The sequence below is a fragment of the Homo sapiens genome, chromosome 7, assembly GCF_000001405.40.
Source record: "Homo sapiens chromosome 7, GRCh38.p14 Primary Assembly".
NCBI lineage: Eukaryota > Metazoa > Chordata > Mammalia > Primates > Hominidae > Homo > Homo sapiens.
The window spans coordinates 114617478-114631176 of record NC_000007.14 but is presented as its reverse complement, the minus strand read 5'-3'; the positions used below and the strand labels follow the sequence as shown (position 1 = coordinate 114631176).

Sequence of the window (13699 nt, the reverse complement as noted above, 5' to 3'; positions counted from 1 at the left end):
ACTTTTTTTTTTTTTCCAATTGAATAAGTTTGATCTGCAGAGGTCCATGAATGTGGTCTCTGGTGATCTATTAGTAAACTGGGATGTAGCCTTCATAGGATAGGCCTGTTAGCTCTCTCTCTCTTCTCCTCTCTTGTTGGAATATATTAAAGGCAGAATTACGTTCAAGGCAAAATTAAAAAAAAGTGCCCTTATTATAAGAAAAAGTATAACTTCCAATTTTGTGAGGCATTACAAGACAAACCAGAGGTCTTTGGACTCCAGAGGGTATGAGATGGCAGTCACACTTCAGAGAAAGACAAGCTGCTGTGGAAGACCTTTCCTTTTTAGTTTGGGGAAAAGAGAAACTTCTGATGCGCTCACTGGAAAACAGACTGCATAATGGAGCAAGTCATGTGGATTGCCCAAAGCCTCGGGAGAAATAAGGGAGCAATTTCTATTCTGTAGTTGATGGCTGTCTGAAATTCTATTCACAAATCCAAACAGAAACAAAGCCTCAGGAGGTCAAAACTGTTTCCTGTACGTTTGCATAATGGGCAGCTTGAAGACAACGGCTCTGATACCTGCTGATCAATTTAACTACTTCAACATGTTTTGTTTGTATTATGTTTATATTTGATGCAGTTTGCTGACAAGTGCAAGCTAGGCCTGAGAAGCCCGCTTGTCAGTTTGATTTATGAGCATATCAAACTGTAACTTTCTACTCGCCACTCTCAACCTACAGTAGCAGTTCATTAATCAGGGGCCTGTGACTTTGAAATCTGTGCTCAACCAGTTTCTCCCTTAGTCTCCCTATCCCCAACAATAGGCCAAATTTGCATGCATGTTCTCTGAGCTGCACCACTGAGAAAAATAAGGTTCCCTCACCAACTTAGATTCTCCATGAATACAAGATAATCAGTACTTTGTCCACCACACAGCTTGCTCTTTGTACTGTGATTCATTAGTGAACATTAGACGACAGCAGCATTAGATTGTAACTCTCAAGTCCCATGCTACAAAAAAGGAGAGCCTGAGAGCCTATCACTGTTACTAAGCTCAGTAAAAATATATAATACTGCAACTTTGACAGCAAGAGCCTTGTTATAGGAAGATCTAAGACTATTCTTGCCGCTCAAAGCCCCTTCTTAACTGCAAACTGTTATGTATCAATGAGATAACCGGATCCTACCTCTTTCGCTTGCTTTCCAGGATGCTGTTGCTGCTGCTGCTGCTGTTGCTGCTGCTGCTGCTGTTGTTGCTGCTGTTGTTGTTGTTGTTGCTGCTGCTGTTGTTGCTGCTGTTGTTGCTGCTGCTGCTGTTGCTGCTGCTGCTGCAAAAGCTGAAGATGTAACTGCTCTTGCTGTTTCTTGTAAAACTCTTGTAGTTGTTGCTGAATAAACCATTTTGACTTTAATAAATAAAGGCAAAAGTTTCACGTATTATAAATCTCCTAAACTCTTCTAGACTGGCATATGGCAGAGTATCCATTAAGATTCATCCCATAAAAACAACAAAAAATATACATTGGATTCAAAGAGACAGCTCTACATACATTTTTTTCCAAGGCAGCTCTGAAATTTTCCAATCCAGAATCCAAAAAATCCTAAACAAAAGGGTATAGAAAGTCTGTATTCTAAAGGGTCAGAGCCAAATTAATACTTTAAATTATTACATCTGAAGTCCTACTGACACATAAAAACTAGGCTATACTCTACCAGTTGTAAGAATAAAAATTTAGCTACATAAAATCAGGTTGCTCAATTCTTATTGGAAAAAACTTAATCCATCAGATGTTCAGAACAATGTCAGATTTACAAGTAATTGGTCTGTAGTCATCAGCACAGAAGTTAGCAAAGTAATTATATATAAAAAATTTCAGGTAAAGCACATTATTTTCTCTCTAATAAGTAAGTGTATAATATAAAGTCTATATACACTCAGGGTTCCGATATGGTATTTATTAGGAACACTATGTTTGTTATTTTAAAAAGATAAATTTCATAAATTTGTGGCTCAGCTGCCTAATTTCATTATAATAAATAGATTCTTCTCTTTCTAAACGATGAGTATACTATGAAAAGGAAAATCTGGGATGTTACTTTCTCCATTTTAACAAAGTGGTCTATTCAAATTTCATACTTTTGTGAACTAAAAGGAATGCTAAGGTGTTAGGAGTTTTAAAAGCAACTATTATCTGGTAAGTATTTTTGCATTTTTTTGGCAAGTCAACAAATTGAATGTACCTAAGCATTTGAATATTTAAATATTGGCTCATTCCATTTTCAAATTACACCTCTCTCTGCTCTTATTCTAGACTTTAATAATTTTTTTAAAAAAATAAGCAATCTAGATTTTCTTACGAGTTCTATAATTAAAATGTTACATTTATGTTCTAGCACGCTAATAGGTTGTCCTTTCAAATGGAGACTGAATTGTCAAATATGCCCACTGCACTTTCAAAATAAGTGCACACCTTCTAAGTCATGCTAGAACACCAAAGCAGGTAACCCACATTACCTGCTGCAGCATGACAGCCTGCTGTTGTTGGAGAAGGGCTTGTAGCTGCTGAGGAGACAGGACTTGTTGCTGAAGGATCTGCTGCATTTGCTGAGGGGTGATCACCTGGGGAGTCATCATGGCCACTGACACAGGCACCTTGCACAGAAAGAGAAAGAGAAAGAAAATTCGTGGTCATAACCAAATATCTGTTAATCAACTTCACAAATAGTATGTTATCTTTTATAAATTCTTTAGCATTGATGATCAATAATTTTTACGTCACATTTTACTATAACTTCTTTACAATAGTACTAAAGTATCACAAAACATAGACACTAGCTTTCCAGAGGCATCAGATTTCATCAAACTCTTTATGTTCCATAGCTCTTATTTAACATGCTTAGATATTTGAATTTCGGCTATAATATCTATAGTTAAAAATAAACAACCACATGGTGGTGTTCTCAATATTTCATAATTGATCATCTCATCAATGTCACTGTGCTATAAATACAAAGGTTTTTGAAATGTCTTAAGTGTAATTAAAATAAATATTAAAGATTAAAAAATTGGAAATATGCATATAAATGTTATCTAAACTAGTAAAAAGCATGTATACAGTATACTTACTTAAAAATATAATCATCATCTTCAAAATTTTATATACACATGATAAAGTACTAGAAAATAAATATAGTAATAAAATTTAGCATATGACAACATGTGATAATTCATATAGGAGATATATATATATATGTGTGTGTGTGTCTGTGTGTATATCCAGAAAAATAATGACATACATAGGTCTTCTGAAAGAAGAACTCATATAACTAGTATTCTAGCTTCTTCTTTAAACCTTTTCTTATTTCAAGCAACTGAGCTTATAATAGGAAGTACAAAAATTTAGCAATTACTCAAAGGTTATTCATTAAACTGAAAATAATAAAAGTAATTTACTTAAAACTTTTTTCCCACTACTTCCTTTTTCTTCAGGGTTCTGAGGATGAGAGGCAAAAAGAAGATAGGGAAGGAGAAAAAGATATAAAGGAGAAAGAAGGAAGGAAGTAAGGAAAACGTAGAAAAAGGACAAGCTAGTGGGAAAGCCCTAGAGAAAGACAGAACGGATGTGAAGAAATAGGAAGAGGATGGTAAGAGTGGTGATCAGAAAAACTGGTATAGAAACCTAAAGTATATGCTCAGATAGAAGGCAAGTAACACTGTTTGAGGCATTACTTGTACTAACCAGTATGCAATCAAACAACTTGTCAACTTTCCAAGTTTGCAACCTTTGAAATAGTAATCACTTTCCTAGAAAAAACAATTCACTTTTACTGTAAATAAAAGCAAGTATTTATATAAATACTGTTTTAGAACAAATTTATTGGGCAACATGTCTTTCAAAACCAAAAAAGATTAAAAGATACGGTTCACAACTTATTTTAATTGTTATTTTTAATGCAGTTCAAACTTTTCCAGTGTGGCACTTTATGTTATGGAGAAAGGAGAAATTAATAATGAAAAGAGGTTAGAAGAAGCAGAAGAAAAAAAAAAAAGAAATCCAGGGTGGATTAATTCTTCCTCCAAAAAGAAATAAAGAACTAAATAAATCAAAACCTTTCATATTTAATACTGAAAAATAGCAATGTCTTTTCTTTTCTCCATGTTAACATATTCAGATTAATTAGATCAAATTGAGTAACTTGAAACATTATGACAGAAATTCAGTGATTTTAAAAAATATTTCTGTATTTTTAAGGAATATACTGGCATACCTATAAATTACTGAATTTGAATTTATTATAATAAAAAGCATTCTGAAATGTATATTGTAAAATTAATTCACCAATGGGTTTTTCAAGTGTTTAGTTGTTTTATAAAATTGACTGTCAATTTACTTAACTCCTTGTTCTCTGATAAACAAATAGAATGGTTAGAACAAGTAGTGAGAAAAAAAATGTATCAATCTACAAAAATGTCTTTTCTTCGAACAATCATTTACCTCATACTATTTCCAAATAGGAATCAAACTGAAATGGACAGAGAAAGATAGACATATTAAACTAAAAAGGCTGTCAATCTAGATAGATAGATAGATGATATAGAGTTTATAGACATGTACATGGATATATATAGAGAGAGAGACAGAGAGAGAGAGAGAGAGAGATATGCCTTCTATAAAGTTAATCATAGATAAGAAGCTTGTCGCACTTTTCTTACATAACCGCTCCTTATTTTTTCAGTATATAGCGTTTTAATTATCCCTTAATTATTCCTATACCTACAAGTACAAATACTTTATGTATAATGATAAGTGAACTTTATGGGGAAAGTTCTATGAATGGAGGTATGCCGTAAACCACTACGAGTTTACAGTCAGATTTCAGCTTATACATATAATATGACTGTAGAGTTTGTTGCTATTGTGATCGATTTGATAAATGAGCAAATTTAAGCAAGTTTTCTATCTTCATATTCTTTAGGGTATACTAGTCCTTACACTACACAAGTTAGATGATTATTTTTACTCCTAAAATGGTTTGAGTGCCTTTCAATTAATAGTTATGACATAAATATAACCATGAAATCATTCTCTTCTTAAGATCATATGTTTTAAATGGTCACATGTATGTGATTTTTTAAAATTTTAATCAGATTCTGGCCTACCTTCTAGGAAACTGTCATCTAAAACTGACAATATACAGATATAAAAATAAATAGAAAGATGAGCCAATTAACACATACATGATTGAACACTCTACTTCTATGTGTACAAAAGACATAAATTAAAATTAATTATATAGGTAGAAAAACACAGGTACACTTCTGAGGGTTTTCTAACACTACAAATAAAGTAATACTATCATCTCTAAATCCACATATATAAGCTCACCCAAACTAAGGAGATTACTAAAAATCTAAGTTATTTAATAAACAAAAAACTAGTTTTTTCTACAACAAAGGTCAGTAATATTGCAGACCCGTCCACTTGCAATTTGAGAAATGCATAGCCTTCATTTTTAAGTGACTCATTTTAAGCGACACATTTCCTCTTCTCCTCCCTCATCGTTTCTTGTTACTGTCCCATTTCATTTACTTGCTACCACAAGCTACTCTAGGTATTCATTGATAAAAATGAATAAAGATTAATTGTATACATATAAAAATGTAGAGATTATACTACTTACCAATATTTAAATAGACGAAATCAGTATCAGCCTTTTAAAAATTTATGGACAATTTTTTTGAAATACATATACCTTAGCAAGTTCGGTGTTAGACTAACGGAACTATTTTTCGCTAGATATGTAATTTGATTCATGCAAATATTCTAATAAGGGATCACAATTTAGACGTGTGACATAGAAGAGGAGGGAGAACTTACTTCTGGTGAGAAGGCAAATAAAAGTCTGGTGGCTCTACCACCAAATGAAATCAGAAGAAATAGCTCGTTTTGAATGGGTATTTATCAGTTAAAATTTTCAAGTGTGAAGGAAGGAAATAGAGTCATCTTTGGTTGGGAGATTTTTTTCTCTCTTGGTATTTACTTTGCTGACAGATTTAAAATTCTCCTTAGTGATGCACCAAACAAGGGTCTCCATTTACCCTTATTTATTATCTCATTACATGAATTAAGCACAAACCCGACATGCTGCTCTGTGCACCAAGAAGTATTACTTAACTGAATATAAAGATAGGTTTATGCATTCTAAAATGAGAGAGGGAAAATTCTGAAACTGTCTTGCAAAGAGTCAGTGGTAAAAGTAAAAAAAAAAATTTAGGTATTATCCTAGAATAGGTAAGTGTATTACAATTAATATCACCTATTATTAATAAGTGATATTAAATATAATTATATTTAGTTATGACATAAATATAACCATCACATCATTGTCATCCTAAAATCATATGTAAATCATAAAAACATATATATTATAAATGTGTTTATATTAAAATTTAAAGTATATGTCATTGAGGAGGTCAAAAAAGTTATTACGAGACAATGCAAAGATCATATCTCTGTTCAAATGCATCTAAAGAGTTATTGTAAGAGTTATGAAAACAAACCAAAATTTTTGTTTTACATAAGCACAGTCTTTTCACAGTCCAGTTCAGTTGGAGCATTTCTGAATGTGCTGGGCTTGCATATTAAGTGCGTCCCTTAATTAAACATCCCAATTATGTGTGGGAGATTGGAAAGGTTCTTAGTATAGTGTCAGTCCAATTCTTTCTTCACTAAATGTGAATTGGAAATAGCAGTCACAATCTATAGATGACATTTACAGTATAAAACATTATTTTCTTGTTAACACGGTCTGCCAACTAGTGGTTCACAGATCTTTTTATTCTTTGTTTAAAATTTGAAGACAAAGGAAGTCCTGACTCTTTTGCCTTCTTGGTACTTGAAAAATGTAACTATGACAATTAACTACTTGTGTAATAAAAGCAAAATTTGTTCTTATGTTACAGTATCTGCTCTGATTTTGACTGTTAATAGAAAATATTTTATTGTACATTCTTGATACATTTCTTCTGTTTGCTTCTATCCTCTGAAATATCTTTATTTACAGTTTATTTTAACATAAGAAACTATTTATTGCATTGGAATGCCAGCTTTGGTAAAAATTCAAGCCTTGGTTACATGTGTAATGTCTATCATAATAATAGCCTTTCAAAAGCTTCCTGGTTTTATGGTATTAAAAAGAACTGACAATGAATTGAGTGGTATTTGTAAGCTTTTCATCAAGTACTGAACAGGAGTATTTAAAGAGATCTGGGATGGACAGTGCATATTGCTATTTAACGCAATCTTTTAGCAGCAGGGAAATAGTGTGACAGGAACAACAGAAATAATATAGCACAGTGCAATAACAGACACAGAGATTCCCTTTAATCATGATTCATCACTTAATTTCTACTATTACTTTAAGACACAAGTTTTAGTATTCATTTAGTTACCTTGATAAAGCAAAGTGTTTCCTGTTTTGGGAAGTAGTGTTTGTCCAACTTTGTCCTTCTCTTAGTTACAGACAAATATTTCAAGAGATTATATTCTTTTCTTTGTACTGCTGGTGAAAACCAGACTGCTCATATAGGCGTGTCATTGTAGAGATTATGGAGAAGTGATATATAATATGCTACACCATATGCTTAAAGGCCAAAAATGCAACTTCTAATCTCACTCTGTCTAATCAAGCTGCTCAGATTATTTTACATACATCTTTGGTTTAGGCCTTGACATGCCCTTGTTTTTCTTTCTTCTCAAAGCTAAAGTTCCCCTCTTTGATTAGCTGAAACATTTGCATGGTCACTACACATTTTTCATTTTATAAATCATTATGCATTAGCAGTCTTGATCGCCTAGCTTGACTAATCCTGACGAACTGAAATCACAGCTGAAGGTCAAACTCCATCCCACTGCACATTCATATTCAAACAAATCTGCACCATTGTTCATTAGGCTCCTAAAATCATTGGAAAGAAGTTACTGCATATCTTACACTTATTTTTTATTCTTTCCAAAACTTAACCTATAGAACATTAATGCTTAACAGATAAAAGCAGAATACAAACAAAATCAATAATACTTTGCAACTGAAGTGCCTGGTTTTATTTTAAGTTGTAAAATCTAGAATATAATCAATAATTACATAGAATTAGAATACTTGAGTGCTCATTTGGGAGACAGGTGCACCATAAAAAGAGGTATAGTCATTTATGAAAACACCATCATTTATTTACATTTAGTAACTAAAAATGTTTATATGGCTAGTGAGCTAGATCCATTCCCTAGAATTAAGATCTTTCTCAGAATTACTGGGAGACTACTTTTCTGTAACTGTGCTAAAAATAATCTTTTATTTGTCTACATTCATAAATATTTCCTTTTAAATTTTAAAATGAATTTTAATACACCAGATACAAAAAACAAAACAATTGTGATTTTGATGGAACTCACAAAATTAGCCCAAATAATATTAATTTCAACAAAAAGCAAGCTGTCCTGATAAAAGACAACTCTCTAAGAAAGCAAAAATAAATATGAGAAGGAAGATCCTTTCATGCTTTCATAGGCACTCTCATAGATTGATGGATGATAATCATCTTAATTTCACTGCTCTCCAAAACAAAGAGTCAGAAAAGGCAGCAAAAGACACTAGCCCATTCATTCCAGGACCTGCACAATGCTAATTCCAACATTTAGCTGCATGGTTTTCTGCTTGATGTATCAGAGCTCAAAAGATGAAAGCAGAGAAGTAATTGCTCTCCTGGTTCTTATTCTTCGCTGACAACCCATAAATTTAATTTTACACACACATTCATTTACATTTTCAAGTATATGACATGATAATTGCCAGAATATAACACCTCCATTCCTGTAGATACAGCAACTCACTGATTGACAAGTGTGGTGAATAGAGAGGAATGGTGGTTGAATTGCAGAATTTTTTTTCTCCTGAAAATTACACTTAGAAGGGCTAACGGTAATAAGCATTTATGAAACAGTCTCACCATAAACATCTGCACATAAAATGAACAGTAGAACCTCAGATATTACAGTCTCTCAGCTTTTTGCGCTTTACACTGAACTCTACTACTGAAATAGTAAAATTACTAACAGCAGATCTACTGAAACACAAATGTATGAAACAGAGTCTACCCCCAGCATTTACTATACCCTTTGGTTGTGATTCTTCAGTCAGTCATGCCATTGCAAAGCAATAAAATATTTAGCCTGTTTGAAGTATTTAATTATATTTCAAGATAATTTAAATATTTAAATATTTTTCAATGAAATGTACATTATGTTTAGGTCTTGCCAAGGGGACATATTTTGCTATAGGGAGAAGTAGTTACTGATTATTTTTAAGTGTTTATTGATAAAGACTGAAACTCTTCAAAACCCTCCTGCCGCTGGGTACACTGATTTGTCTTTCTAGCTCACCATGGAGAAGGCTATAAACTGCCTTGCTTTTCTCTGGTTCCAAAGTTCAAGAATGGAACAAAGCCCTCTAAATTGGATCCTGATGAGAAAACATCAACTTCGAAGAAGAATTTCAGATCATTAGGATGCTCTCACTGCACTTGGAGTTGCTGATGAGCCTGTCTAACTGACACAGCCTAACTTCAATGGAAGAAGGCAGGAAAAAAAGGGAAAACTGAGGTAGATTTACTGAGAGTATTGTACCAACGACTTAGCAATTACTTTTTCGTGAATGTCCTAATTTGTACAGATCCAAGATTAGTTCATGTCTGCCAGGCTGTGAGTTGCTTAAGATTCCGTTGCTACTACAATTAACAATAGTAATGTATGCATCTTGGTGAAAGAACCATAATATCCCAAACTATACCTTTTGCCTTATATTGTACATAAATCATATCTGTCTACCCTCAGAATTAGAAAAATATTCTTAAGTTACCTATCCCATAAAGATTCTTTATAGATATCAAAAAGATGCTGATAATCATATTTCTAACATAAATTAAAAACAAACTAGCTCCTCCAAAATGTGTAACCAAAGCAAATTCTATTACTGCATCATCGAGAACAGTTGTAACCCATTAGTTATAGTATAAGGGCTTCATGTGCAAAAATTAACACCCCAAATTTCAGCATAATATATAAAAGAGACAATAGTTTAGCTGTAGTTAATAAACACTTATGGGCTGTCAAAGCAAAATTTCACATTTTAAACTCATAATTTCAAATGGTAGGAGAGAGAGTTTTGCCCAGAATTTATCCTCAAAATAATGTAGCTATTTGTTTAATGTAGTATACCCCTAGGTCTGTCATACCTATAACATTTCCCATAACTTTTAATACATATGAAAGTACATAGTAGATACCAAATCTGATTATTATGAAATACAATTTTTTTATGAAAGCAAAGGAATTTCATCCATGAATAGCTTAAACCCAACATATTCTATGGCATTTAGGTTAGATTATAAAACTATGCAGAGTCCTTTTTATATCTTCTACCTCTATTTAATTTCAAATTATGAGATATCATACTGTTGTAAATTATGTTGGCTAGACTATTTTCCCACAGTTGCAATATTTTGTTTAATAACTGACTTTCCATAAGATTATAAAGCTGTATTTAAGATAATTTTGCTCATCCTGTCTGAAAAGACTTCTACGATTACTTTTTACCAACTAGTCTTGCTGAAAGGTTTCTAGCATTATAGGTAATGTAAAGTCCATTAGGTCAGGCTCTTCATAGCATGACATGCAGTAAATTACAAGTGCTTCAAGCAGCTCAGTGAATTACAGTTCATCACTTTGAAAGGTTTCCCACTACAAGACCACAGATATCAGATCTGGCAGTTAGGATCCAATTAACACTTTGGTCAGAATAATCAGATTGCATGTGTAAGACTTGTATAATTCGTTTATTGCTTCCATGCATCTTCTGTCTGTAGGTAAATTTGTTGCTGTTATTTCTAAGCTTGGAATCAGTATTTCACTTGCCGTTAGGTTATATATCAAGTTCTTTTGTAGTGTAGCGATGAACTCCCCTTGTTTCAGCAATTTAAATCACTTGTCCTCTAGATATTACAGCTTGAGAAATGGTTTGTTTCTGGTAGTTTTGTTTTGTGCTCTTACCATGTCATTATATGTCTAGAAAAAATTGCTAGCAATTTTTACTAAGCACGTTTTATTTAGTGTATCAGAGACAGTTTTCTCCAACATGATCACTGTGAATCTTGCATAACAACCCTATACACCATAAATGACATATGCAATGACATTTACATGTGTACTGTCATGCAAAACTATTTCCTGCTACACTGAATATAATACTATGACTGAATGAAAAACATTCTGATTTGGTGATATCATTTTTCTAGCCATGGTAAGTTATTTAGAAGAGGTCCTTCAGGGGAAGACTAATGAGATAATAATATAACTCATATTTGGTACTTTTGGACAATACTTTCACAGCCAGTTTATTCATACTTTCAAACATTACAGCTAACTGAACAGAAATCGGAAAAGAATAATTTGACCCAAAGGAGGATACAGTTTCTTTTAAAAAATTGGATATACAAATTCCACTACTGCAAATTTTAAACCATAATGGCCTAATACATTTCATAAATTAAAAAAACCTAGCAACATTTTATGAAATAGCACCATATCCAATTCACAATGAAACATATATGTTATAAATTACTATTTCTTTATTCTCTTTTATATTGTACCTAATGCAGATTTAAGTTTCTAGATTCAGAACACATATTTCAAATCCAATATAAACTGTCACAGTACTATGAAAACACAGTTAAACATTCTCCTCATATGATGTATTAAAAATAATTGCTCTTTATAGATGAGATCTGAGTGATAACACTGGACTTACGGATTGAAAATATGCCCGTTTTGGTTTTACAAAGACAGCTATTTTGTGATTAGTGAAGATAATATAACTAGTATTTACAGTTTCTTTTCACAAAGTGGCCATTTCTTTTTTCAAACAATTATACCACACCAGAGGATCAAACAGATAATGTTATTCTTTATGAATGATGATTTTAAAAGGTATTAATGAAGATGCAGACAGCAACAAAAAGCTTGGTTGCAGTGTTAGACTTTGAAACTAGAAAAATTCAAGTTGAATATCGAGTCTTGCTTGCTTTGTCACTTTGTTCAAGCTGTTTAATTTCTCTGAGCCTCTATTCCTTTACCAGTGAAATAAGGGTAAGTATATCCATGTCACTCAGTTATCCTCAGGATTAAATGTGAGAAAGCATGTAAATACATAACACACAGTAACCACTCAAATTATCTCTTTTCCTTTCTTGCCTCTTTACCCAGATGAACTTCCCCTTCAAGAGACTTAATTCTATGTAATAAATTGCCTCAGTTTATACAAGTAGAATACTAAGACATATTATCCTATCTGCAGTCTCTACTCAAACTTAATATCTAAAAACATTAAAAAGATTGAGGATCTTCACCTACATAGACTCCTGAGGGATTTACATCAAAAATAAGTAAATAGAACAAAGTGATACATAATACCTGTTCATAGTGTTCTATGAGCACATTTATGCATTCTACCATTTATATAAAAGGAATATTCTGGTACAAAATATAGGTCAAGCTAAATATTTTGGTTTTGTCTGTTGTATAGCAGGCAAACCTTGTCTGAGGAAGTATGTCCTTGTTAAATCCCAGCCCAGCTTCAAAGGTAGCCTAAGTTCAGTTCAATAAGGGATAAATCACCATAGTCTCTACTAGTACTAATTATTAGGTTTCAAGTGTTAGGATTCCAACTCTTGCTCATAAGATTCTTTGTGTCTTAGTCTCCATTCTCTGTTTCTGATTTAGTCTGTACTAGTAATTTTGTTTTGTTTTATTTTATTTTAATTTTATATCTAGGGTTTGTATTCCTCCAACACTGGCTCTATGTTATAACCATACTTTCAACTTGTTTTATAAATTCTTGAAGAATAAACCCTCCATAGTCATTCATCCATCCAGCAAAAGTTTGCTAACTTCTGGTGGTAGAGGGGAAGGTGAGTAAATGCATGATTAGACTGCAGTGTGGCATGGGTCATGATAGGAGAATGCACAGGAAGAATAGAGAATGCACAGGAAGAAATGGCAGAATCAGAAAAGGATTTTGAGAGGAAGTAATGCTTAAGTTGAGTTTCAATGAATGAGTAGGAATTAAGAATGTTAAACGTCTTCCCTAGGCAAAAGTGTGAAAAGCAGGCCTTTTCTAGGTGAAAGCAGGATGGTTTTGTGCAATGGCAAGTTATTCTTTATGACTAGGGGTATGGAATACATATAGCACAGGTAGGTAGGAGCCAGATCAGGAAAGGGCCATGGCTATCAGAATTAGAAGTTAAACATTTTTTCAATAAGCATTTCTTGTTTTTACTTTTCCCTTTTTGAGAAGGGTCTGGCTCTGTTGCCCAGGCTGGAGTGCAAGGGCACGATCTCAGCTCACTGCAACCTCCACCTCCCAGGTTCAAGCAATTTTCCAGCCTTAGCCTCCGGAATAGCTGGGATTACAGGCACCCGCCATCATGCCTGGCTAATTTTTGTATTTTTGTAGAGACGGGGTTTCACCACATTGGCCAGACCTGGCTAAAACTCCTGACCTCAGGTGATCCACCCGCCTCCGCCTCCCAAAGTGTTGGGATTACACGCGTGAGCCGCCTCGCCCAGCCAAGCATTTCTGGATTAGAGAGTAGGGAAACATGG

The 13699-nt window shown here is 33.2% G+C and overlaps 1 protein-coding gene across 8 annotated transcripts in view, besides 1 other annotated feature; it reads right to left on the bottom strand.

The window, feature by feature from the left end:
* The window catches only part of FOXP2 (forkhead box P2), a 607439-nt gene that overhangs the window by 62589 nt on the left and 531151 nt on the right, over positions 1-13699 (bottom strand). For 6 of the 8 annotated variants that reach the window (NR_033767.2, NM_148898.4, NM_014491.4 and 3 more), the window contains 2 exons: positions 2500-2637; positions 1172-1372 (listed from right to left, as the gene is read on the bottom strand). Coding sequence is in view for 6 of the 8 variants with exons in the window: in NM_148898.4 (NP_683696.2) it covers positions 1172-1372; positions 2500-2637 (339 nt within the window). In the remaining 2 variants the exon portion in view is untranslated. Of the gene's footprint in view, positions 1-1171; positions 1373-1534; positions 1586-2499; positions 2638-13699 lie in introns of all 8 variants that reach the window. The other 2 variants (NR_033766.2, NM_148900.4) reach the window with 1 other exon arrangement.
* Positions 8143-10159: an enhancer, noted in NCBI's record as "VISTA enhancer hs1080". NCBI's record gives its function as "enhancer in: ear[3/5]" and the evidence as "EXISTENCE:transgenic organism evidence [ECO:0001131][PMID:17130149]".